At 42.3% G+C, this 27,256-nt stretch overlaps 1 protein-coding gene and 1 pseudogene across 7 annotated transcripts in view; one reads left to right on the top strand and one right to left on the bottom strand.

Moving 5' to 3' along the window:
- ZNF236 (zinc finger protein 236) overlaps positions 1–27,256 on the bottom strand; it is a 150,345-nt gene that overhangs the window by 72,516 nt on the left and 50,573 nt on the right. For all 7 annotated transcript variants that reach the window (NM_001306089.2, XM_011526168.3, XM_011526169.4 and 4 more), the window contains 6 exons: positions 24,722–24,894; positions 22,234–22,377; positions 20,070–20,273; positions 18,874–19,102; positions 5,101–5,373; positions 1,164–1,367 (listed from right to left, as the gene is read on the bottom strand). In NM_001306089.2, coding sequence (NP_001293018.1) covers positions 1,164–1,367; positions 5,101–5,373; positions 18,874–19,102; positions 20,070–20,273; positions 22,234–22,377; positions 24,722–24,894 — 1,227 coding nt within the window. The remainder of the gene's footprint in view (positions 1–1,163; positions 1,368–5,100; positions 5,374–18,873; positions 19,103–20,069; positions 20,274–22,233; positions 22,378–24,721; positions 24,895–27,256) is intronic.
- Positions 13,296–15,451, top strand: XPOTP3 (XPOT pseudogene 3; annotated as a pseudogene).

Here is a 27,256-nt window from a genome sequence, read left to right as displayed (position 1 = left end):
CGTTTTAAGGTGTTTAAGTTGACCTGTCTAATTGAGGATCTTTCACTGCACTTGAGAATTTGAGTATTTCCTTTCTTTGAATTTTTTTAGTTTAAATATTTTGATGTTAAACTCTCAGATTCACACAAGTTTATGGCTGTTGATCATCTTACTGGTGGCCCCCAATTTATAACAATCTAAAATCTCTCTATACAATAATTTACAATTATTGTAAATAAAGGTTATGCTTTGGAATTAAGGAATTATATTTTAATATTAATTTTGCTTATAGATTGAATTATCTTTCCTAGGAAAGTAGTGAAATACAGAAACTGCATAAAAATGTAAATTCACACATTAGTAAGTGATGTGGTCTAAATGTTTGTGGTCCTCCAAAATTCATGTAGTAAGAGGTAGGACCTTTGGGAGGACATAGCCAGAAGGCACTATCTATGAGGAAGAGAGACCTCACTAGACACTCAATCTGCCAGCACCATGATCTTGGACTTCCCAGCCTCTAGAACTGTGAGAAGTAAACTCCTAGTATTTACAAGCTACACAGTTAGTGGTATTTTTGATTCAGGAGCTCAAACAAACTAAGACAATGAGGTTTCTTAAATTTTGTTCTAGTACTAACAAATATAATTTTTCTAAAGATTCTAACAAGCAGTGTTTTCTTTCTAGATCATCAACAAAATCATAGTTTGGGTTGGTTATAGTAACACTGAACCTAAAAAGAAAAGCAGGCAGATTTTTCTTTTCCTTTTTAATCCAAAGATTAAAGTAGCCCAAATAATCTGTAACACAGTACAAAGAACCTAAAGATGAAAACAACAACGTGCACTGTGTGTTTCACATAAAAACCCCTTCTCACTTTTGATGGTTCCACTGAGGTAGCAATGTTTCTTCAATGAGGACTTACACGCTACTGTTTTCACTTACACATTATTTGTCTCTAATCCGAGAAAACAATTTGAGCAGTAGTTTGGATACAACTTAGATTTTAATCTTGACTGTAAAACATACTAGTCCATAAAGCAAAACAAGGCTTAACACAGACTTCATTAATACTATGCCTAAAAAACTATTTAACTACAGAGACCATAATGTGTGTACACAATTCACAAAATGTCAAAGAAAATAGTACTCAATAAATTATAAAGACGCCCTACAATCCATCTTACCTAAGTCAGTTATGAGGATTGGTTCCTGCAAAGGAATATCAGGGACTGGAATATTCGTCTTGCCAACACGGACCTTTGCAGGTTTACGCTGGTGCCTCATTTTCCTTAATTCCGTATGTTTAAAGTGGGAAGCAATGTGAGTCTTCCTATGGCCTGAGGTTCGAAATTTTTTGTCACAGTGAGGACAAGCAAAAGGTCTAACTCCTAATAAAAATGAAATCACATTTTAGAATTATTTCCAGAAATTACATCTCAACAGCAAATGCTAACATAAAATGTTATTATTTCCAATACTGATTTGAACCTTCAATTTATTAGGCCATGCTTATAATTTAATGGATATTGTAAATTATTTTCCCTTGTTTGTATACAGTGCATATTATAGATATTAAGGCATGTTATAAGAGCATTTTAAGTAAAAAAAGAACATTTAGTATTTTTAGGACAAAGTCTTACATTGTAAAATATGGACAGTAGTTCTTCAGAACTTTACAGTATGTAAGGATGCTCTCTCTCTTAAGTCACCACCTGTAAAGTGGCTTAAAGACACCTGCCTCCAGGGCTGCTGCTGAGATTACGTAAGCTAACATTTAAACAGCACTTAGCAATGTCTCACATTTTGCAAATAAACAGTAAATGGTAGTTGTCACTGATTGTAAATGATGATGATAATAGTACTAATATCTTCTTAATGATCCTCTTACTACTGTGCCCCACTTCTAAAGAATATTTCCTTGTTTTACAATTTTATCAGCAAATGAAAATGTAAATTCCAAAGAAACACATACAACAAAATTGAGTAACTTCAGCTTTGTCAAATACTCATCCACATTGTCAGCCCAGAGGAGGATCCCTGAGGGAATTTGGGGGATATTGCCAATGAGTACAGGGTTTCTTTGCAGGGTGATAAAAATGTTCCAAAATCAGACAGTGGTGTAGAGTGCACAATTCAGAAGTGTACACATTAAAATGGTAAATATTATATGTAAATTACATCTCAATAAATATGTCATTAAAAAAAATGGAGCTCCGTAATGAAAGATTTCATGCCTCAGTACAAACAGGTCCCCGGTCCTCCTCCTGGCCCAGCTAAAGCCTTCAGGTCTTCTCAGATCAAATGCAGATTACATGTTGTATTCTCAGAAAGGCTCACTCAGTCTAAATCCAAATCTGATCCGGACAGAAGTCTCTTTTCACCCTCTGCAATTCTACGTTCATTTATAAGTGTTACTTGTTTTTAATGCCTCCCCCAGCATATCCTTAGCTCCATGGAGATCAAGGTTGCATCTGTTTTCTTTACCTGTAGATACTTCATGCCCAGCCTATAGAAGAGACTCAACAAGTGCTGATGAAAAGACAGAAATATATCCTCCAAGTAGTCAATTATTGCTCCCCCAGGTGCTGTGACTCAATCCCTTCTCAGCACCTGTGTGCAGTACTGTGTGCAGTACCTATTGGCAGTTCCTGTGTGTGGCACTGTGTTTGGTACCATGTGTGGTACTGTGTTTAGTACTGTGTTTGTTACTATATGTAGTACTTGTGTGCAGTACTGTGTTTGGTACTATGGGCAGTGCCTATGTACAGTACTGTGTTTGGTACTGTGCATGATGCCTGTGTGCAGTACTGTTTGGTACTGTGTGTGGCACCTGTGTGCAGTACCTGTGGGCAGCACTGGTCCCTGTGTGCAGCACTGTGTTTGGTACCTAAGTGCAATACTGTGTGTGTGGTACTATGTACAGTACTATGTGTGGTACGGTATGCAGTCCCTGTGGGCAGTACTTGTGTGTAGTACTGTGTTTAGTACTGTATGCAGTACCTGAGCGCAGTACTGTGTTTGGTACTCTATGTACTACTTGTGTGCAGTACTGTTTATTACTGTGTTTGGTAGCATGCATGATGCCTGTGTGCAGTACTGTTTGGTACTGTATGTGGTACCTGTGTGCAGTACTGTGTTTGGTACTATATGAGGTACCAGTGGGCAGTACTGTTTGGTACCTGTGTGCAGTACTATGTTTGGTACTTTATGCGGTACCAGTGGGCAGTACTGTTTGGTACCTGTGTGCAGTACTATGTTTGGTACTGTGTTTGGTACCTAAGTGCAGTACTGTGTGTAGTACTGTGTGCAGTCCCTATGGGCAGTACCTGTCTGCAGCACCATGTTGGGTATTGTGTGCAGTACCTGTGGGCAGTACTGTTTGGTACCTGTGTGCAGTACTGTGTTTGATGCCTAAGTGCAGTACTGTGTATGTTGTACTGTGTGCAGTACTGTATGTGATGCTGTATACAGTCCCTGTGGGCAGTACTTGTGTGTACTGTGTTGGGTACTGTATGCAGTACTGTGTTTGGTAGTATGTGCAGTAGCTGTGTGCAGTACCTATGCACAGTACTGTGTGGTCCCTGTGGCCAGTACCTGTGTGCAGCACTGCAGGCCATACCTGTATGCAGTACCTGTGTGCTGTACTGTGTTTGGTACCTGTGTTTGGTACTGTGTGTGGTCCCTGTGGGCAGTGCCTGTGTGAGTGCAGCTCTGCAGGCTGTACCTGTGTGCAGTACTCTGTTTGTGTACTGTGTGCAGTACTGTGTTTGGCACTGTGCATGACACCTGTGTGCAGTACTGTTTCGTACTGTGTGCAGTACTTGTGTGCAGTACTGTGCTTGGTACCTGTGTGCAGTACCTGTGTTTGGCACTGTGTGTGGTCCCTGTGGGCAGTGCCTGTGTGGGTACAGCACTGAGGCTGTACTTGTGTGTGGTACTGTGGTACCTGTGTGTGGTACCTGTATTTAGTATTGTGTTTGGTACTTGTGTGTAGTACTGTGTTTGGTACTGTGTTCGATACTGAGTTTGGTACCTGTGTGCAGTACCTGTGTTTGGTACTGTGTGCGGTCCCTGTGGGCAATGCCTGTGTGTGTGCAGCACGGCAGGCTGTACCTGTGTGTGGTACTATGTTTGGTACCTGTGTGCAGTACCTGTATTTAGTACTGTGTTTGGTACTGTGTTTGATACTGAATTTGGTGCCTGTGTGTAGTACCTGTGTTTGGTACCACGTGTGGTCCCTGTGGGCAATGCCTGTGTGGGTGCAGCACTGCAAGCTGTACTTGCGTGTGGTATAGTGTTTGGTAACTGTGTGCGGTACCTGTATTTAGTACTGTGTTTGGTACTGTGCTTGATACTGAGTTTAGTACCCATGTGCAGTACCTGTGTTTGGTACTGTGTACGGTCCCTGTGGCCAGTGCCCACGTGGCTGCAGCACTGCGGGCCATACTTGTGTGTGGTACTGTGTCTGGTACCTGCCTTTGATACTTGTGTGCAGTTTCTGTGGGCAGTACCAGTGTGGGTACAGCACTGTGGGCCATACCTGTGTGTGATACTGTGTGCAGTCCCTGAGGGCAGTATTTGTGAGCAGTAGTACCTGTGCAAAGTGCTGTGCTGGGTACTATGTGCAGTACTATGTGTTTGGTACTTTTGGGCAATGCCTGTGTGGGTGCAGCACTGTGGGCCATACCCGTGAGCAGTACTGTGTTCAGTACTATGTGGGGTACTGTGTGCAGTCCCTGTGGGCAGTACTTGTGTGCAGTACCTGTGCACAGTGCCCTGTTGCATACTGTGTGCAGTACCTGTGTGCAGTACTGTGTGCAGTCCCTGTGGGCAGTACTCGTGTGCAGTACCTGTGCACATTGCTGTGTTGGGTACTGTGTGCGGTATCTGTGTTTGAGACCTTTGTGCAGTCCCTGTGGGCAGTACCGGTGTGGGTGCTGCATTGCGGGCCACACTTACGTGCAGTACTGTGTGTGATACTTTGTGCAGTCCCTGTGAGCAGTACTTGTGTGCAGTACCTGTGTGCCTACTGTGTGCCATACCTGTGTTTGGTATATGTGCGCAGTAATGTGTGTGGCCCCCGTGGCCAGTGCCCGTGTGGGCCCAGCCCTGAGGCCATACCTGTGTGCAGGCGAATGTGCACCTTGAGGCTGCCAGAGGTGGAGAAGCTCTTCATGCAGTACTGGCACTTGAACGCCTTGATGCCGGTGTGCGTCTTGATGTGCGCTGTCAGCGTGCTCTTCACGGCGAAGGCGCGGAAGCACTGCGGGCACTTGAAGGGCTTCTCGTGGGTGTGGATGCGGATGTGGCGGACCAGGTCGCTGGGCTTGCGGAACTCCTTGGCGCAGTAGGGACACACATGCCAGCGCACGCCGTTCTCCTCGCGGATGGAGCCTGTGAAGGGAGAGGACACGTCCCGCTTGGCCTGGACACCCCGCCTAGGGTCAGGTCCAGGACCCCCTGTGGTCCCCACAGAAAGCTGCACGCATGATCAGTTATGGGAAAGCTTGGAATTCCCAGGATCACTGACATTATCGAGGGCTAGGAGTTAATCTCGCTGAAACCCCTAACAGTCGGGGAAAACACAATTCAGTCTCTGAAAAAGAGCGCCCACTGACAGGGTGATTGATTCGGTAGGTCCAGCGGCACCAGGACACAGCTGGCTCCCTCTCAATGAGAACAAAAGCAGATGGGATCGAATGACCTCATGCTTAATGCAGGGAACGAGAAGAGAAGGAATGACACTGGAATAAGTATTTATTGGGCCTACTGGATATCACCAATTAAAAAAATATAAATGCAAATAATTAAGAAACAGTAAATCTATATGCTATAAAAGGAAATTGGTAAACAGTTAAGACAAATAGTATATATCAATTCATGATAAAATATAAGTGGATCTGTCTCATATTATTACTCAATTTTGAATCAAGTTTAAAACTATTTCTAATAGAAAAAAAATCACAAATTGATGGAAATATAGTAAGTACACCTGTCCCTCTGTTTTCAGCAGGAAATACTGCCAAGACCCGAGTGGTTCCATCTGAGAACCAAGCCAGCTACTGAGTGGTGAATGCAGCAGCGTGAGTGCGTGGGACAAAGGGATGACCCGTGTCTCCCTCACCCCTCTCAGGATGGAGCAGGACAGTGGAAGGTGAAATGGTAAGAAATTTACAGCTTATGAATTGTTTATTTCTGGAATTTTCCATTTAATATTTTTGGGAATTTGGTTGAATGCAGGTAACTAAAACTTAGAATCACCTTATTTTTAAAATTTTTGATTAGATTTATTCATCTGAAATTAAGGTAGCATCTACAGTGACTATATAGATAACTCACATAAAGAATCCACATGAAATCAGAAAGATTTCCCACATTAATGAAATTTCACCAGAACACTTTTAACTAAAATTTATTTAACTGTGTCTGTACCAACATAGTTTTCTTAGGGAAAAAGAAAACCTTCTGTTTCCTTCTCTCTTATCACTAAACATAAGGAATTATCCATATATGCAAGTAAATCTGTAAAGATAGAAACCATTTTCTCAAATACAATATTCTTTGCAAGAATAATTCACATAAAAAAGAAAGGTGGGCCGGGCGCAGTGGCTCACGCCTGTAATCCCAACACTCTGAGAGGCCAAGGCGGACAGATAGCTTGAGCTCAGTAGTTTGAGATCAGCCTGGGCAACATGGCAAAATTCCATCTCTTGAGAAAAAATTTTAAAACAATTAGCCAGGTGCGGTGGTGCATGCCTGTGGTTCCAGCTACTCAGGAGGCTGAGGTAGAAGGATGGCTTGAGCCCAGGACATAGGAGTTGCAGTGTGCTATAACTGTGCCACTGCACTCCAGCCTGGGCGACAGAGCCAGACCCTGTCTCAAAAAGAAAAAAAGGAAAGAAAGGTAGAAAAAAAGAATGAAAAATAATATATTTTTTAAACACAGTGACAGAATGTAAATAAAAACAAAGAAAGGTACAGACACAAATCACGGGGGTAAAAATGGAGAAGGAAATAAGGGAACTGGTTTTAAAAGGTGAGACATTTGTTTTGTGGTGATAGTGCATAAAGACATCTAAAATTTAAGACTGCTTAAAATTAACAGGTAAAAATTAATTCACAAATGTGCATAATTACCTAAAGGCTTTATCATGACAAATCAAAAATGCAAGGTATAAAAAGGGTATGAGAGACTATAATATCTACTAGTAAAAATTAGGACACCATTCCCCAGAAATCAGATTTTTTTCCAAACCAAAATAAAACTATATCTCAAGTTACGCAGGATGACATAATCTAAATCTGCCACCAGGTTCTAATATCTGTGAATAGACTAGAACAGAGACTACGAACTGGAAGTCCTGAAGCTGTCTCCAAATCTGGCCTGCATATGTTTTGTTTCACCCACACAATGTTAAAAAAGAAAATGGAATCCAGATTTCCAACTCTGACAAATGGAAAGATCCGGAAAGCTAGATCTGCAATCCCACATGGCAAGCTTTCCTGGAGTTGGGCAGTAGCTTTCCTCTTCAAATAGTAAGTCCAGGTGCGGTGGCTCACGCCTGTAATCCCAGCACTTTGGGAGGCCGAGGCGGGCGGATCACCTGAAGTCAGCAGTTCAAAACCAGCCTGACCAACATGGAGAAACCCCGTCTCTACTAAAAATACAAAATTTGCTGGGCGTGGTGGCACATGCCTGTAATCCCAGCTACTCAGGAGGCTGAGGCAGGAGAATCACTTGAACCCGGGAGGCAGAGGTTATGGTGAGCCAAGACTGCACCATTGCACTCCAGCCTGGGCAACAAGAGCGAAATTCCATCTCAATAAGTTTATATATATATATTAGTAAATATAGAAAAGTAAAGGATATATACTCATCTTCAACATGAAAAGACATTTGCTAAAACTCAACATCTAGTCTTAAAAAAGGTCTAAAAACAGGAAAAGGTGAATAAAACATATCTCAATATAACATTCAACTTAATAGAAAAATATATTAAAGTCAGGGAGAAAAGTCCACTATCACTGCCATTAATTTATTGTGATCTAGAGATACTAGTCAATGACATTAGTCAAGATAAAGAAATATACAGTATACACTAGAAATGAAGCATCAGTCATTATTTTCAAATGATATTACCATATAATCTAACAAACCTAGAACTCAGAAAGATACCCAAGTTTTAATACAAGAAAATCAATACGCTTCCTATTTACAAAAAAAAAAAAAAAAAAAAACCCAGAAGAAAATTTCAAAAAGAAAAAAAAAAAAAAGATAAATTAATGGAAATGCATACCCTATTCTTTGGGACAAAGACTGTAAGTTACAAAGACATCAATTCTCCCTGGTTTAATTTATCATCTGTATACAAATACCAATAAGATTGTTTTTTGGAACTAAAGTTTTTGGAACTTTAGCAGAAGATTCTAAAGTGCATCTGAAAAATAAATATGTGAAAATAGTGAAAAATACACTTTTAAAAAGGAGTATCAAGAGAAGACTGGCTTTCTAGTTATCAAAGTACACTCAGAACACTTGAATAAAAAGACAGATTAGAGGAGTAGAACAGTCCAGAAAAGACATATATCGATTTGGGAGTGTGATCAAGGTGGCATTACATTTCAATTGGGAAAACATGACTTATTTGACAAATGATGTTTGCACATCTGGGTGGCCACCTGAAAAAAAAAAAATTAAATCAAAGATTTAGTTTAAAACATTAAATTATGGACAAGCATAGTGGCTCATGACTGTAATACCAGCACTTTGGGAGGCCAAGGCAGGAGGATTGCTCCAGGCCAGGAGTTCAAGACCACCCTGGGCAACAGAGCAAGACTCTGTCTCTACAAAAATAAAAATAACAAAATTAACTAGGTGTGGTGGTGCACACGTATAGTCCTAACTACTGAGGAGGCTGAAGCAGTAGGATCACTTGAGCCTGGGAGGTCGAGGCTGCAGTGAGCTATGATCGTGGCACCACACTGCAGCCTGGGCAACAGAGACCCTGTCTCGAAAAAAAAAACCTATTAAATTATAAAAGTCAGATATAAGAGAAGAGGTTATCTTTCCATAATGTCAGTGATGAAGTCTAAATATCACCCAAGCCTAAAGTCATTAAACATTGACAAACTTAGCTATACATATAAATAAATATTTCCCCAGTTAAAAAAGTTTTTCAGCTCAAAAAGGCAAACAAATTAGAAAAAAATGTACAACTGACCCTTGAACAACTCGGAGGTTAGAGGCACTGACCCCGATGCAGTTAAAAATCTGCCTATAAGATACCCCAAAAACTTAACTGTCAATAGCCTCCTGTTGACCAGAAGACTTGCCAATAACATCAACAGGTAACACATATTTTGTACATGTATTATACACTATAATCTTACAATAAAGCTAGAGAAAAAATGTTATTAAGAAAAGCATAAAGAAGAGAAAATATATCTCCTATTCATTAAGTGGAAGTGGTTTTCCTCTCTTTGTCTACATGTTGAGTAGGCTGAGGAAGTCGGGGGTCTTGCTCTCTTGGGGTGGCAGAGGCAGGATAAAACCTGCATATAAGTGGACCTTTGCAGTTCAAATTTGTGTTGTCTAGGAGTAAACTGTATCCCACAAATATAGCTCACAAAATGCTATCATCTTTAATACCATATGGACAAAAGAAGTCAAGAATTAGTCTTATAGGAAAATATAGGTACTCTTTTGAAAAGCTTTCAACCTTACTCCTTGTAAGAAAAATGCAAATTAAACGTACAATAAGACACCATTTTCTAACCCATTGGATGAGTAAAAAAAATCCCCAAATTTTGATAATTTCTTGAAAAGGCTGTGAGGAAACAGGTGCTCCAATAATTGCTCCTAGAAGGGTAAATCTACATGACTACATGAAAGTATAACTGTTTATCAAAACTTATTCCTTTTTACCAAAGGAAAGTGTAACTGTTGACAAAATCCTTTTCATTTGTTATCAAGTATGTTACTGACACCAATGATAAAATTTCAATAAGGTCGGTACAGTGGACAATAGTACTGGGTCAATTTTAATTTCCTGATATTGATGACTTTACTATGATTATGTACAAGGATGTCCTTGATTTTAGGAAATACACACTAAAAAATATTTACAGTTAAAAGGGCATTATATCTACAAGTCACTCTCAGAAAATTCAGGAAAAAAATAGCTAAACAGCGAAATCAAATGTAGTAAAATGTTAACATTTGGGGGAATATGGATGAAGGGTATATGGGAATTCCTTGTATTGTTTTGAAACATTTCCACTAAGACTGAAATTATTTTAAACTGAAATGTCCTTACAGATAAACGTACATGTGTGAAATGATGCAGCTACACACACGGCCACTGCAGCATCATTCATGTTAGCAAATGGCTGCAGATTGGTTAGATTATGATACATTCATAAAATGAAACACTATTCAAGCATTTTGAAAAATAAGATATCAAGTGGAAAAAAGTAACCTAAAAAATAACATCACATTATATTATACCTCTAGCAGGAAGCCACTCATCCTCCTAGAAAACAATCACACAGATGCCTGTGCTTGTTTAAAAGACACAGAAGACAGTAGTGGTGCGCTTCCCTGGGGAGGGGTGGCAGAAGACCCCTCACAGAAGTTCTGTGGACACCACTGTGTCTTTTGAATTGTGTGGCATGGGCATGTTTCACCTATTTAAAAATAATTTAAAAACATATATATTCATTAAACACTTATTATTGGTCAGCTACCACCATGCTATCCACTTTACATGGATCCTCCCATTCGTTTATCTTCCATTTATTCTATCCTTAGTCCCACCTTACAGATGAGAAGTTGACATCTTAACTGACTTGCCCAGGACCAGATGGCCAGTGAGGTCCACGTGATCCTAGCGCCTAAGTGCAGTTTTCTCAAGGAGGTCTGTCTTCCCAGTGCTACTTCAAGCACAGCATGACAAGTGCCAAGCACCATGCCAGGCATCAAAAGGTATCTGCCCTGGAAAGGACTGTGGTCTAGGGGAGAAGCGGGTAGGGCAGTGTAACCAAGCATGTATGGCGTAACCAAGCATGTATGGCAGAGCATCAGAGGTGCCAAGACAGATGTGTGCATGGATGCACACCAGGAATGCAAAGACAATGCTGATTACTTCCATAGGAGGAGGCTCAGAAACTTCTGCAGAAATAAGGTGGCCCTGCCGGTGAGCTTCGAAGGCAGATATTTGCCAAGAAGGACACGGCCTGAGGTATATTTATCAGATAAAAGCAGCAGCAAAAGCCAGGTGTGAAGGTGAGTCCCAGAAACCTCCAGTTCAATATGGCTGGGGTACAGGATGCCTGGTGGGACTAGCAAGAGTCAGAAGTGCAGGCAGGGCTAAATTACAGAAAGCCTTACATGCTGCAGAAAGTTTCTTGGCAGGAGAGGAAAAAAGCCTAGACGTGTTCTCTTCAGTCTTCAATTAGCTCCCATGCAAGAGAAGGTGCCATAGACCACCCAGCCAGCTTTATCTCCAGCATTAGCTGGGCCGTCAGGAGGACAAGGACGACCAAAGAGGAAGACCACTGGCCAGACATGGGTAGGGGAGACAGACAGGGGGAATGCAGTGACCAGAGAAACATCTGTGGGTTCTTCTGTGGGATCGGAGAGCACCTACTGTAATCAGAAAACTCCAAGTAGAGCACCTGGGATGGATAGCCTGCTCTTTTGGGACAAAATCCAAATGCTGGTTCCAACAAAGGACCCTGGCCTGCTGGGAACATCAAAAGATTCCCCCAGACGCCTGACAGGTACACACAGAAGTTCTAGCCCAGACGACAGTCAGGGTGACACAAAGTCTTTCTGCTTTCAAGGACCAGAACATCAAATATTCAGAAGTAACTACTGTCCAACATCTAATTAGAGAGGGACTGATATCTCAGCGTCACGCACAAATGCAGACTCCTCAGCCACAGGAGACCTTCACGTGAAATACAACAGCTTGACTCACCTTCTTGACTTCTGTTACAGAATATCTCACTGCACAGCCTAAGTGTTTGTTTGTTTGGTTTTTGAGACGGAGTCTCGCTCTGTCGCCCAGGCTGGAGTGCAGTGGCATGATCTCGGCTCACTGCAAGCTCCGCCTCCCGGGTTCATGCCATTCTCCTGCCTCAGCCTCCTGAGTAGCTGGGACTACAGGCACCCGCCACCATGCCCGGCTAATTTTTTTGCAGAGATGGGGTTACACCATTTTAGCCAGGATGGTCTCGATCTCCTGATCTTGTGATCCACCTGCCTCGGCCTCCCAAAGTGCTGGATTACAGGCGTGAGCCACTGTGCCCGGCATTTGTTTTTTATGCTTTTTTTTTTTTTTTTTTCTGAACACTCTCTCAGTAGCAGACCTACTAGAACACTGGGAACAGTGCATTCAAACCTGGTGGAACCACGGCAGCAAATCTTACCAAATAATCATTATACAAATCAGAAGCAACAGGTCAGTGCTGGGTCTTGGGGCTTCACACAAAAGCCTCTGATATGGTTTGGCTCTGTGTCCCCACCCAAATCTCACCTTGAATGCTAATAATCCCCACATGTCGTGGGAGGGACCTGGTGGGAGGTAACTGAATCATGCGGGTGTGTTTCTCCTGTGCTGTTCTCTTGACACTGAATAAGTCTCACGGGGCCTAATGGTTTTATAAAGGGCAGTTGCCCTGTACATGTCTCTCTTGCCTGTAGCCATGTAAGATGTGACTTTGCTCCTTATTCACCTTCTGCCATCATTGTGAGGCCTCCCCAGCCATGTGGAACTATGAGTCAATTAAACCTCTTTCCTTTATAAATTACCCAGTCTCTGGTATGTCATTATTATAAGCATGAGAACAGACTAATACAGCCTCTTACATAAACCTGGCCCTCAACCAATGATAGGTTTATAGATATGCTGCTAGGACTGGGTTAATAGAAGCACGTGACTGGATATCTGAAACTGTAAATCGAGGAACGGACCCTGCTGATGAAATGGAGCTAGTAGAATCTTTTTATTTATTTATTTATTTATTTATTTAGACATGGAGTCTCACTCTGTCACCCAGGCTGGAGTGCAGTAGTGTGATCTCGGCTCACTGCAACCTCTGCCTCCTGGGTTCAAGCCATTCTCCTTCCTCAGCTTCCCGAGTAGGTGGGACTACAGGTGCGCATCATCATGCCCAGCTAATTTTCGTATTTTTAGTAGAGACAGGTTTCACCATGTTGGCCAGGCTGGTCTCGAACTCCTGACCTCAGGAGATCCACCCACCTCGGCCTCCCAAAGTGCGGGGATTACAGTTGTGAGCCACCGCGCCCAGCCAGTAGAATCTTTTTAACAAGTACTACAGTCTGCTGGGTTTTTCAGCATTGACCACGAAGATGATGTTGATTTCCTGGCCAGGTTTTCTCAGCTGGTCACAGGAGAGAGACAGTCACTGATAGTTAGCTGGACTACGTGAATTCAGAATGGGGATATCAAGAATGCTCAAGAGGCACTAGAAGCTGCTGAAACAAGGATGGCACTGACGCTGCGGTGACTAGCTCCTGATGACGGGACCTCCTCTAAGATACTGGCTTTTGCTGTGATTATGTTCAGATTTTGAAACATCTTAGATCAGCAGAAAGCCGGTGCAGCGGCAATCATGTCAGTTGCCACAAAGGAACTTATGATGAAGACCCTATCTTTGAAAACGAGAGTAACGATGAAGCCATGTTTGTCAACTATAAAAAACAACAGAAGTTACTGTTGGACCGGCTAGCTCAAGCTTCACCAAGGTACTGCTGACTCCTGCGCAGTTTATATTTCGACACCACAGCACTGGTAGGCTACACGGTTTACAGAAGCTGCAGGAGCAGCAGGCTTGCTATAGAAATTGACAGAAGCTCTTCCAGGATCTCATGGTGCCCCCTTCTCAGGTGCTGGTTCAATGGCTAGTGCTCTGCAAATATGACACAGCCGTTGGTAATGTCAGGAGTTAGCTCTTATGTGTGACATGAGTTTTTCGGAACTTGTCAGACAGGAAAGTTCTTTACTGCTGAATCTCAACACATTCCGTGGGTATTAATGGCTTTCTTAGATCACAGGGGGTCTGCAACACTGTAGCGCAAAAGCGTGCAGCGGAACTGCTTGGCAGTTCTTTAGATTTGTCAGATCTCTCAAGAAACAATGAATCCTTTCACTGAGGATATTCTCAATAGAATAGAAGACTTATCAGGGCTTTCTCCACTGAGAATGGTTAGCAGTCCTTACTGAAGAACAATAATCAACTATTTGTTTACAAGACAGCCGGAATACCAATTATTGACAGTAAACACCCATCAAAAAGGAAGCAAGCATTAATTGAGGAATCTGTAGACTCCACTGATGGAAAAGTTTAAACTTCTGTTAGGAACACTGATGCTGACCGCAGGGGAAGAAAGGCAGGCATCTATAACAGACTGCTTCAACCATGGTGCTGGACTTGCCAGAGCAGCGAGCAGACTGGGGAATGGCGTGGCTGTTCAGAGGCTCTGAACTGTTTACAGATATTCTCATCAGCCCTCAGCTGTGCCTTACAGAAGGATATGCTCAGAAGCAGAGGTCCCATGTTCTTCCTCATTGCATGATTACTTGCCTGGAGGAAGAAGTCCTTCTGTTCCTCTTGTCTGCTCAGACATGTGCTCAAAGACTATGAAGGAAGAGACCCCCAGGAACTCATTCCTTTTATCAAGCAGATTACAGCCAAGCCTAAGACACAGGTATCCCCATTTTACGACAGATGTTCATGCCTCTGCTCATGCAGTTGTTGAAGAATTGCTCTGACCAGCAGAAGAAAACAACCAGTCTGCTGCTGAGAAAGGCAGATGCTGCCGAGGAGTTACTTTGCCTCCCTTCTGTCAGTCACAGGCAGTGGAATGAGTGAAGGTACAGAGAACAGAGAATGAGTGCTGGTTACTGTCTCACAGGAGCAGCTGAATATCCAGATCCAAGTGCACAGAAACGGGTTTTGTCCTTCAAAGTTGAGAACCTCAGGGAGGTTTGGAGGGACTGTGGGATTTCTTGCTCCTGTTTATAAGTGCATTGCCCCCATGTGGTTCCCAGAACCTTGAAAACAAATCTCTGTCCTGGCAGATGCACAAACAGTACTGCCTTATGTGGTTACACAGTGACACTGAGAACAGTGCATCTCCGATGCAGCCCAGGATGCACTGAGCATCTTCACCAAGGAAACCTGCCCTCCTCGCACGCCGCCCCAGGAATGATTTAGGACTTTTGTCAAGTGCTTCAGCAGCCTGAGGCTAAAGTTTTATGAGAATTCTTTAAAGGTACTCTTCCAGGGCGGGAACCCTAAGGACTGCATCTCCCTGGGTCTACTTCACAATGAGAATTCCAGTTAATAATTTAGGGGGGAAAAAAGCAATTTTTGTGTGCCATTCACACTAGTATTTTTAACACTGCTTTGGGCTTACTGCAGTACACTTACTGAGGATTTTCTGATATGAGGTCGGTTGCACTCATGGATGCAGACCCCACGGAGAAGGAGAAAGGCTACCTGCACTTAGCTTTTACGCAATTATAAAAATCAAATTTATCTGAGCTGTAAGAACTTGGCAGACCACAAACAACAAAAGAAGAACGTGGGAGGTTTGTTACAGTGAATGTTTAAAAAGCACACTTGCAGAGATAATAATTTCAAAAAGCAGATGAGTCTAAGAGCCACACCATCCTGGAGCCCGTGGACTGAAATAGGACAGTAGGATGCCAGCCAATTACAGCCCAGTAGAGTACACCGAAGTTCACGGCAGTGACCCCAGGTCATCAAGAAGTGGCTAAGTTAACAAGACCACACTCTGATCTAAGAAGGTAAAGTATGCAAGGACTTTTAGAAAAGTTTCCACACACAATAGTTTCACTATACCATACCATTTTCATCCTTAAAGGAGTCAATCATCAGCTTTCCAAAACACCATTCACCATGATTTCTAGATAGGCAATATTTCACCACGATAAATTTCTTTTTTTTTTTTTTTGAGATGGAGTCTCACACTGTCGCCGGGGCTGGAGTCCAATGGCATGATCTCGGCTCACTGCAAACTCCACTTCCCGGGTTCAAGCGATTATCCTGCCTCAGCCTCCTGAGTAGCTGGGATTACAGGTGCCCGCTACCACACCCAGCTAATTTTTTGTATTTTTAATAGAGACGGGGTTTCACCATGTTGTCCAGGCTGGTCTCAAACTCCTGACCTCATGATCCACCCACCTCGGCCTCCCAAAGTGCTGGGATTACAGGCACGAGCCACTGCACCTGGTCATAAATTTCAAACTTTACTAAAAATTCACAATGATTTATGTGTCACAAGTTGCATGATAACTATAAAAGCATTTGTTAAATTTTTAATATAACTTCTTCAAACCAAGCAAATCCCGCCGAAAACATTCACTCTGATAAAAGTGAATAAATCAAAAGCAATAATTTTACATGGCGGAGTATGCTTAACTTAGGAACGTAATGAAGGTTAGTTATAAGCAATTAATGTTATGACTTACGAGACAAGAATAGTTTTCCTCATGGTCTTTCTAAGATATCAAATGATACTCCATCCTTGGAGAGGTATTTTCAGATATAATCACTATGTTAAAAGTACACTAGTAATTGAAAAGTTTTAATTAAAAGGAACATCTTTATATAGAAACGTGTCCCCAGGCTAAGTGTGGTAGCTCATGCCTGTAATCCCAGCATTTTGGGAGGCTGGGGCAAGAGGATCACTTGAGGCCAGGAATTTAAGACCAGCCTGGGCAACATAGCAAGACCTCAGCTCTACAAAAAGAAGTGTTTTTCACTAGCCATATGTGGTGGCACATGCCTGCAGTCCCAGCTACTCAGGAGGTCGAGGGAGGAGGATTGCTTGAGCCCAGGAGTTCAAGGCTACAGTGAGCTATAATTGCACCACTGTACTCTAGCCTGGACAACACAGCAAGACCCAGTCTCAAAAAAAATAAAAATCCCCAATGGTTTTCTCATCACCATATTAGAGAGGTCACTTAAAAAAAAAAAAAAAAAAAAAAAAGCACTGGCTCCAACTTGTACTAGGGATCCCATGAATGTAATGGGAAATTATTAGAACTGCATGCACTTGCTCAGTACTCTACATGTGTATTTGATTGATTCAAGTAGTCCAGAAAGTACCTAATTGTTACCAACTCTGTAAACACAGCACCCCAAACTAGAATACCGTACAGGAAGGTTTCTTGCAATTCCATGTGGAATTCCCTGGCTAGTACTTGGTGCAGGGAGAAAGCTGCTTCACCAGCACATGCGGGTGAAGGTCTGGAAGGAGCAGCACGGGGTGGTGCTCACCTTCTCGGTCTAAGGACCATGGCTATGTGTACTCTCAGGAAGGAGAAGGTCTGACGTGGCTCCTCACTCAGTGGCTTGCTGCCCATGTGAAAGCATCCGATTTAGCACAATGACTAGAGACAGTAGCCCGTGGGGCTCAGGCGGGCACTCGCACAGAGGTAATAAATCTGCATCAGATTCTCAGGAATACAAAACACACCTGTAACCTGGAAGACTACCACACAGCTAATCGAAATATACGGAAATGGCTCCTGTTTTCCTTTCCTGCCCTGCCAGATACCAGGAAACTGTGCGGGAGAAACTGCTTAGATTCCAGCATCCTGTCTTTCCTTGGGGAGAAGAAGTCCAGATCAAGGGGAAGAAGAGCCTGACTAGTGTGGTTTGAGAAACAAGAACTTCAGAATCATGTTATACATGAGAAAATGTATTCTAGGAAAGAAGTGTTAACAGAAATGGCAATGTTATTCCATGCTTTGTAGCAAGAATGCACTTGTTCCCCAAGACAACTGGGAAAGGTTTTCACAGAACAGTTTTGCCAAAAACACAGGAATCTGTCTTTTTCAAGAAAGATGTAGTAAATTCCTGCTCCTGTAGAAAGAGCCATATTGAGCACTGTGGGGTGTTCAGAAATGAGAAGGCTGTATTCCTGGCCAGAAAGAGCTTATTACCTAGAAGGGATATTAGACTGCATCTGTGCACAATTAACATGAGAGAACGCAGGAATCCTAAACACTCTAAGTGCTGTGGGAGGTAGGACAAGGAAAAGCACCCCTCAGAGTCCATCCACGAGGAGGAGCACTGAAGATGCTTGAATGACGGAGCACTGAAGATGCTTGAATGACGGCCAAGATTTGACGGAGACCAGAGGAAGAGGTAGAAGGAAGGCATCCTTGCTGCAGAAAGCCTGCAGAAAGCATGATGTGCAGAAACACAGGGATGCCTAGAAACAGCAGGAATCCAGTTTCAGTATGATGTCTAATAAGTTTGTGCCTAGAAGCACAGAGGGAGGGCGGATGGAAATGCAGGGGACAGGTGACAGGATACTCAGGAGCCAAGAAATGGATCTTGGTGTGTAATGGGAAATGGTGAGGTGTGGAGGAGGGAGCTGTGCTGCAGGGGTCCTTTGATGATGAAGAGGAAAGGACTAGTCAGAGGCTACTAAAATCACATGGCTGGATGCCAGAAGCACCAAGGGTGAGAAGAACTGAAGCAAAGCCATGGATCTGAGTGGAGAGGAGGCGCCTAAGCAGGGCAGAGAGAGAACAGTCGGAGACAACAAGCTTTCAAGAGAACAGACAGAGACAAGAAGCTTTCAAGCCCTGGCGAGGAGTCAGGAGAAACTGAATACAGGAAAGAAGCCAGGTTAAAGAAAAGTGATAAGTTTCAGGCATTTTATGGCTGTCATTCTTTTTAATTTTAAATACCAACCAACTACAGCTAGCTACAAAACATTCAACAAACATATCCTATCACCTTCAGAGGAAAAAAGAAGGGCACATTTCTTAAAAACCAGCAATATGCTATCCCAAATGTCCAAACTTTAAAGTTTAGGAAAATTACCAGGTAGAAACGGTGACTTCTTCTTTATCATTTTTTTTTCTTTTTTATCCAGTTTCTCCGGGCTTTCCTGTTCTTTTTCTTGCTCTGCGTCTGTGGGGTCCGTCTGCTCATTTGAAACGCTGGAAACATCTGGGTTTTGAGCGTGTGGTGCAGAGGTCTTGGCATGGCAGGAGTCATTAGGATGTGCTGCAGCTGGAATTGAAGACAGCCCACTGTTTTCTAAGGCTTGCTAAGACAGAACAAAACTAAAAGGTTAGAAGGTAACGATGGCCCAACTCTGCCTACCAAAATCAGTCAAAAGCTTTACCTATAGAATTCTAATTCCACTCCAAGAAATAAGAATCTACAATTCCAAGTCATCACTTATAAGTGAGGCTTCCAACCCTTTGAGGCTGTAACGTCCTTTCTGATGATATGACATCTTGCTCCCACCCAAAATAATATAAGCATTTACATTTCTAAATTAAAGGGAATTAAAATTTATTTGACTTTCAGAAATCTTACCTCACACAACTTTGGTTGTCTCTAAATAGTCTTGGGAATCCCTATTTTAAGGCTTTTGAGTTACACTGGGTTTAACTTTCAGGTATCGGCTGTAGAACGACACCCTGAGATTCCTCATACCCCTGGCCAGCTCTTCCCCATGAAGGTACAGGAGGAAGGTTAAACAAGTAACAGAGAGACAGGAGGAGTGAAGAGTTAGTGTGAAGTCACGGTGGACTAGAAAGCTGGGGGCTCTGCGCTCCTGCCCCCCTCCTCTCCCACACGTGCAGGTGCTGCCCACACACCCACGAGAGAAGGCCAGGCAGTATGAACGCTCTCAGAATTGTCAACACCCATGACTGTCTCCAAATCATAAACCAGAACCTCAAGAAAGAATAAAACGCTTTTTCCACCTCTGTCAACATAAATAGATACAACTTCGGAAAAGCCTGTTCTTTTCAAGTAAAGTTCACTTATGGAAAAAAAATAAAAGTTTGTGATTTTTTTTTTAATGTATAGATGAATAAATCATTTGAATGTTGCGCCGTCCATAAGCAATTAAGTAGGCATATTAATTTCTTTCGGTTCAGGCACATTTTTCATGAGGATACCCTGACTTTGACAAGCCCTGCAGATTTATTCTCAATTATCATCCCTGGTTTCTGACCCAGCACGAGCACGTAAGCCTCACACCGCAGGGAAGCGTGCTTCACCTGTAAAATGTCCTGGTTGATGCCCACTGTGATGCTCAGCTGCTGCCCAGGCTGCGGGGACTGCCCCGACTCCACCGGCGCCGGCTCTGAGAGCTCCAGGAGCTGCTGGATGACGTCGCTCACCGCCTGGGAGCTCGGCTGGCTTGAGGCCGACGTGGCTTGGGCTTCCGTCTGTTGAAGAGGTAACGTCTGAAAAAGTGTGGCCTGAAACACAGAAACATTTTCATTAAAAATACAATTTTGCTCTTCAATTTAAAAAGGAAAATTAAAAAAAAAAAAACAGGCAATACCCTCCTTAAGGGTGTTAAAATCTAAGAGTATCCTAAACATAAATTTTAAATATAATGCCTCACTGATTCTGGTGTTTGGCACGATATTGGCTCTTAATATACTCAATACATTGTTCTAATGCAATTTTGTACAGTTTTTTCCAGTGAGCATAGAGACTCAAGATGGCAGATTGAGCACGTGAACCCTCACCTTCCTGTTAGCCCATAAAATTGAAGTGAAGGAATTTTTAAAATATCAAGTTACACAAATTTAAAAAGTAGGAAAGAAACCACTGCAGTCAAAATAATTCAACACATTTGTGAAAAAATTCTTCCTGCAAGGAGACTGGAGGAATAAAGGCGCTGTAATGCTACAGCCAAGAAAACCTAAGTCAGAGGAAAGGGCTGTGATGGGAGAGAGAGCCAGTCCCACCCCTGCAGGGCTCGGGAATCCGAAATGTCCCATCCAGAAGAAAACGGATGGCAGGGAAACTACCCATACGACACTGTGAGGGTGTGGACAGGACACTCTACCTTTGTCAAAACCCGTTGAATGGACAACTCTGAGAGTAAACCCTGACAAAAACTATGGACTTTGGTTACTAATAATAATATATCCACATTCGTTCACCAGTTGTAACAAATGTACCCGACCGATGCACCATGTCAGAAATGTGGGAAACTGAGCACAAGAGAAGAGGAGTATATGGTAGCTCTCTGTACTTTCTGCCCAAATTGTCTGTAAAAACTGCTATGTTCTTACCTGCCCAAGTAAGAGTATAAGGGAGATTCCAGGTTTCTAAATCCCTATAATTACATTTCTTTTTATTGAGAATATAAATGTTTAAAATGATCTGGACTATTTTTCTAGATTATTCACTACATCTATGTTTTGATTTGCATATTGCCAAAGGAAATGATGAAAACTAATACTCGGTTGATTTACACAACGTTAAAAATTGTATTTAAAAAAATTCAGACCAAAATAGAATTTTGAAGACATAATTATTGGACTCTATTCTCCAGCTTTATAATTCATTTTACAACATTCTACCTGGTCAAGAATATATTGAGGAACCATCCCACACTGCAAATATTATGAAAAAAGAAAAGAAAAAACAAACACTAAAGGTAAACCTAATGTTTAAAAACTAAGTATTAATTAGACTTATTTTCCATACTGGTAGGAGGCAGCTGTTGACATAATACAACCAAGTAACTGCATTCATAAGCATACATTAAAACTTCCGACACTTTCGTATTTAATGTCTACTACTATTAAGATACCTATAGTTGATGCTTAAATTTTACCATTTATTAATCTGTTGAGAGGGTAGTGCAGTACGAGTAACTAAATGAGACTGAGCTAAAGACGCCTACAGAAAAAATAAGAGTGGGTGTATGTCCCTGTGTGTGTGTGTGTGTGTGCGCACCTGTGTCTCTCTGTGTGTAGGCATATGTATTTAGAGTCATACAATTTTTAACTACATGTACTGAAAAATATAATTTAGTTTCAAAAGTCCAAAGACTTAGGAAAAATTATCACTGTCACATAAGAAAAGAGAAATATTACCTACAAAGGATAATTAATTCTTAAATTATAATTTAAAGAATATTCAATAATCATCAATAACACTGTAGAAATCATCATTTCACAAATTAATGATTACAGTTTGTCTTATTTTCACAGGTTCAGATGACAGTCTGAATCAGTCATCTAATTATTATTCTCAAATTTTAAAAGATTGACTTTAATTCTTTAAAAAGTAGCACCTTTTCTCCATATAAAAAATTTTCATAGCACCTTTTTGCTACTAAATATTCAATTGTAAAGGTCATATTTAAAATGACAGATTTTAGTTTAAAAAGAAGTTCTTCCAAATTACTAAACTTACCGTTAAAACATGAGCAGTCTCTGTAGAACTTGTTGAATTCTGTGGCCCACCCATATGCATCTTGCTGATATGCGTGTTTAAGCTGCCTAAACTTTTAAATACACAACTACATTCTGTACAGTTATAGGTAGGACCATTCTTGACCTTAAAGAATAAAAAGGAAAAAAATGATGTTTTACAATTAATTGTTAAATTTAAACATCTAAATTATGGCAAATCATAATTTACCATTCCATTCAAAATGACAGAAATAATCTAACCCTTCAACATTACCTTTTTTCTTTTAAATTAGATAGTTCTAGAATCAATGACCCTACTCTTTAAACAATATTGCCGGTATAAGATGAATTGAAATTTCAGTCTTTTCTATAAAATAGAAATTATTCAAGAGTGAGAAAACACATTTTTCAATTATTGTAATTTAACAAAAACAAACTGTCAGGCATAAGATATTCTCAGTTTTTTAAACAGTTGAATACAATGTTCAATAGCAAAGGCCAGACAGTTATATATAAATACATATTACACCAAATATGCTTTCAGATGGCCAAAACCACAGAGGTTAGGAAAGATGGTCATAATGATATATGAACTTTTCATCAATTTTGATATTCTGTATCAACAACTAATTTTCTTTTTTTCTTTTTTTTTTTTGAGATGCTCTGTTGCCCAGGCTGGAGTGCAACAGCGTGATCTCGGCTCACTGCAACCTCTACCTCCCAGGTCAAGTGATTCTCCTGCCTCAGCCTCCCAAGTAGCTGGGATTACAGGCGCCTGCCATCGTGCCCAGCTAATTTTTGTATTTTAGTAGAGATGGGGTTTTGCCATGTTGGCCAGGCTGGTCTCGAACTCCTGACCTCAGGTGATCCACCCACCTCAGCCTCCCAAAGTGCTGGGATTACAGACGTGAGCCACCACACCTGGCCTAACAACTAATTTTTAAAGCTATGATAAATCCAGAAACCATGGAAACCAGTAAAATGAGTAAGAACAGCTGTGAACAGAGAAAATACCTAAAATATTCTTTCTCTATTACTAAAACCCAGTGTTAGTTACTGTAGAACTATGAAGGCTAGCTTGAAAACCCATTGGCCCCTTCCGAACTTGAGTAAGACTTCCATTCTGTTTCTGGTGCCTCTCTAAGAACCAAATTTAGATTCTTACAAAATTGGATAATATTTATGAACCAATCTTTAGAGGCTCTTTCTGGAACAACCCATTCTAGTGCAGGTCCGAGAGCACTTCTCAGTGGCAACAGGTGAGTCTCTGGGCCCTTTAGCATAGGGGGAGTTTTCTAAACTCAGGAGTACTGACAAGTACCTCACAAGGCTCCTCTAAGGTTCCAGTGAGGCATTTCTGTGTGCTACACAAATAGACGATCCTTCCTATGCAATCATCTTCACCCAGAGGCAACACCACAAGAATGACTTACAACAGCCCAAATTTATTCTTCCGAAATCTAAAGGTAACCTCAGTACCTCACTAACACTGACATGCCTTCCTAATGTCTCTGGGTCTTAGATACTAAAAAGATTAACTCATTGAACATGGAACTGTGAATCTGTTCATAAAACTACGTGAGATGTGCAGGGTTTTTTTCTCATTTTAGATTCTCTTTTTCATTTTAGACATTCTGTTTATCTAAGATCAAAGACAGCTTCTACTTGTTTTTATTAAATTTGGATAGTGAGTATTAACTCTAAGTTCACTTCAGTGTTAGTTAAGGTATTATTCTAAGTAAAAAATTAAGAGATACACATTTGCTCCCAAGAATATGATAGTTTTCATTCTGCAAAATCATTCCATAGGATATACTGATCCATGATAAAAGTATTTGTGTTGTTTAAATATTTCTTTGTATTCTACAATTAGAATATAAATCAATAAGTCACGATGGTTAGTTAGAGCAAAGGTTGACCTGCTTTACAGAAATACTTGCAGGATCTACACATCAGTATGCTCTGTAGACAACAGAAAATTACCACAGGAAATCATCATTTTAGTCGAAAGACTGGACAAGCAGCATGGAAGGAAATGAACAAAGCAGGCCTCTGTCCAAGAGGGAACGGACATGTACCATATGAGCTCTGTAGTATTAGCAGTAAGAAAAACACTTTTTTTTCCCAATTTTATTTCTTATCTTTTAATTTCTTACACTTGCCTGTGTTTCAAGTTTGCTAAAGGGATGAAATACATTATTTAGAATGACAGACTATAACTAACAAAGGTATTAGGATTATTTTCAAATATTTATTCCCCAAAGCCATGCTGTCAGCAAGAAGACAAAAAAGATAGTAGTTTATATTTCTTCCACATGTAATAAACCAAAAAAATTCCCACGTATGTATTTTTTAAAACAGGGTCTGCTCGGCACAAAATCAATCTGCATTTTTTTAAATGGAAAAGAATTTCTCAGGTCCGTTTATTAACCCAAAAGATACCTACTGTCCCCTGTGAAATACCGCTTATGCCCCCAACCCGTGTTTACCTCTGAGTGGACTCGCTGCACGTGCGACTGAAGATTCCCTTTCTGAGAGAAGGCGGCAGGACAGAAGGCACAGGCATGGGGTTTTTCACCTGTGTGCTTGATCATGTGGGTCTGCAGTGCCCCCTTCTGGTTAAAAGCCTTTCCACATTCACTACATTTGAACGGCCTTTCACCTAGAGTGGGAGAAAAATGATCAAAATATAATTCCATATTGTATGGGCATCTTACGGATTGAAAAGAACAACACTGAAGTTACCCAAACCTATCCCTCCAGCCAAAATGTCTCCCCAGAACTCTAGATGCATATATACAAGTGTCTACTTTAAATCTCAAAATTAACATGTCAAAACTGCACTTGACCATCTCGCAAACTGCTCCACCTGTGGGCTTCCCCAGGCAATGCCATCCTTCCAGGGGATCAGGCAATGCCATCCTTCCAGGGGATCAGGCAAAAAACCTTGGAGTCATCCTTATCTTTGGTTTCTCTCACGTCTCACACTCAATAATAACTTCAAAATACACCCAGAGCAGCCCTGCTTCCCGTCCACAACCACCACCCCAGGGTAAGGCACTCCCCTATCACTCAAAGCTCCTGAAACCACCCCCAGCTTGACTCACTGCTTCCACCCTGGCCCCTTCCTAGGCTGCTCTCAAAACAACAGACAAAATGACCCTCTTTAAGTCTGAGCAAGTCACTTGTCTGCTGAAAACCCTCAATGGCTTCCAATCCCCCCTAGAGTAAAATCGAAGTTCTTCTAATACTCAGTAGAGGAGGCGCCAGTGCAGTGCTTCGCACACCAGCTGTTGTCAGCTCCCCTGCCCCTGCTCTCTTGCTCCCTCTACCCACTTCTGCCACCGCCCTCAGACACACCAGGCAGGTTTCTCCACTTCCGGGCCTCTGAAATCCGCCGCCTGGGCGGTTCTTGCCCCAGTATCCCCAAGACTTGCTCTCTCAGATTCTTCAGGCCTTTGCTCAAAATCGTCTTTACACTGAGGACTTTCCGGTCCATTCCATTTAACATTAAAATCTCCTGTGTCCTCCCTGGGAACCCCTAGCCCCCTTCTCTGCTTGATTTTTCTGCAGACTTCTCAGCATTTGACCTTTTACATTTTACTTAATGTCCACCTCCCCTCCCTAGAATGCACGCTCCAAGAAGGCAAGTGCTTGTGCGCTGCGGCTCTTCAGCACCTAGAACAGGGCCCTGTGCACACTAGCATGCAGTACGGATCTGATGAATGAAGGAATGAGCAAAAAGACAAAATCGAGTTAGGTTAGAACCTAACTGCAAGGCTACTTAAATTTCTAGTCTTACTAAATTTTCACTCCCTAAGAAACAGAAAGCAGCTGAGTTCATAATAACATCAGATCCCTGCTTCTCTGAACAGCTTTAGGGTTAAATAAGTGAATGAGATATAACAAGCTTGGGGACAGTACACAAATGGTAAAAATCCCTGCTTTAACTCGGAGGGGGCAAGGGTGTGAAAGAGGAGGACAGACAGTCAGGAGGCACAGTGAGAGTGTGGCCCGGTCACGGCTCTGCCTGCATGGGGACAGGAGAGGAGGACAGGCGGGCAGGAGGCACAGTGAGAGTGTGGCCTGGACATGGGACTGCCTGCGTGGGGACAGGAGAGGAGGACAGGCAGGCAGGAGGCACGGTGAGTGTGGCCCAGTCACAGCACTGCCTGTGTGGCGACAGGAGAGGAGGACAGGCGGGCAGGAGGCACAGTGAGAGTGTGGCCCGGTCACGGCTCTGCCCGCATGGGGACAGGAGAGGACGACAGGGGGGCAGGAGGCACGGTGACAGCGTGGCCCAGTCACAGCACTGCCTACGTGGGGACAGGAGAGGAGGGCAGACAGGAGAGGAGGGCAGGCAGGCAGGAGGCACGGCGAGAGTGTGGCCCAGTCACGACACTGCCTGCGAAGAGATACCCTTCCTGTTCTAGATGACGATGCTGCAATGTACTCAGCCTCCTTTGGACAGGAGCCCTGCTGGGGCATACACAATCCAGGCATGGTCCAGCAGGATTCTGGTCACCCCCCTCACATCATCACACACACTGTGAGGCACAGCTATTGGAAGACCAAGCCCAGAACACGGAATTGCCTGAACAGCAAGCAGGCACTCCCTGCCACCTCCACCCGGGCCCGCCAGCCTCCTGTTTAAACCACACCGGCCTACGTGACTCCTGGGGCTGGGACCTGCTGCTCTCTCCAGGCAGCTCACAAGCCAATTGGAGCAAGTGACACATGCTTCAAGTTCAATGCAGGAGGAGTAGCATCACAGAATCCCAAAATGACACCTAAGTATGTGATTCTACACGCATGTGTCTCTCTAGGAGTGAGAGTATGCTCATGATGTCGGTATATTTATGTACGCGTAAAAAACATCTAATGGGGTAGATATCAAACTGTTAAAGGTAAATGACAACTGAGAAGTGAACACGAGAAGGATTTGCTTTACTTTTTACTTTATCTCTACTTTGGGTAAAGTTTATAACTTTTTAAACTATTTTTTCATTGATTAAAACTTCAAA

Source organism: Homo sapiens, chromosome 18 (assembly GCF_000001405.40).
Source record: "Homo sapiens chromosome 18, GRCh38.p14 Primary Assembly".
Taxonomy (NCBI): Eukaryota; Metazoa; Chordata; class Mammalia; order Primates; family Hominidae; genus Homo; species Homo sapiens.
The sequence above is the reverse complement of the archived record's forward strand: the minus strand, read 5'-3'. Positions and strand labels throughout refer to the sequence as shown.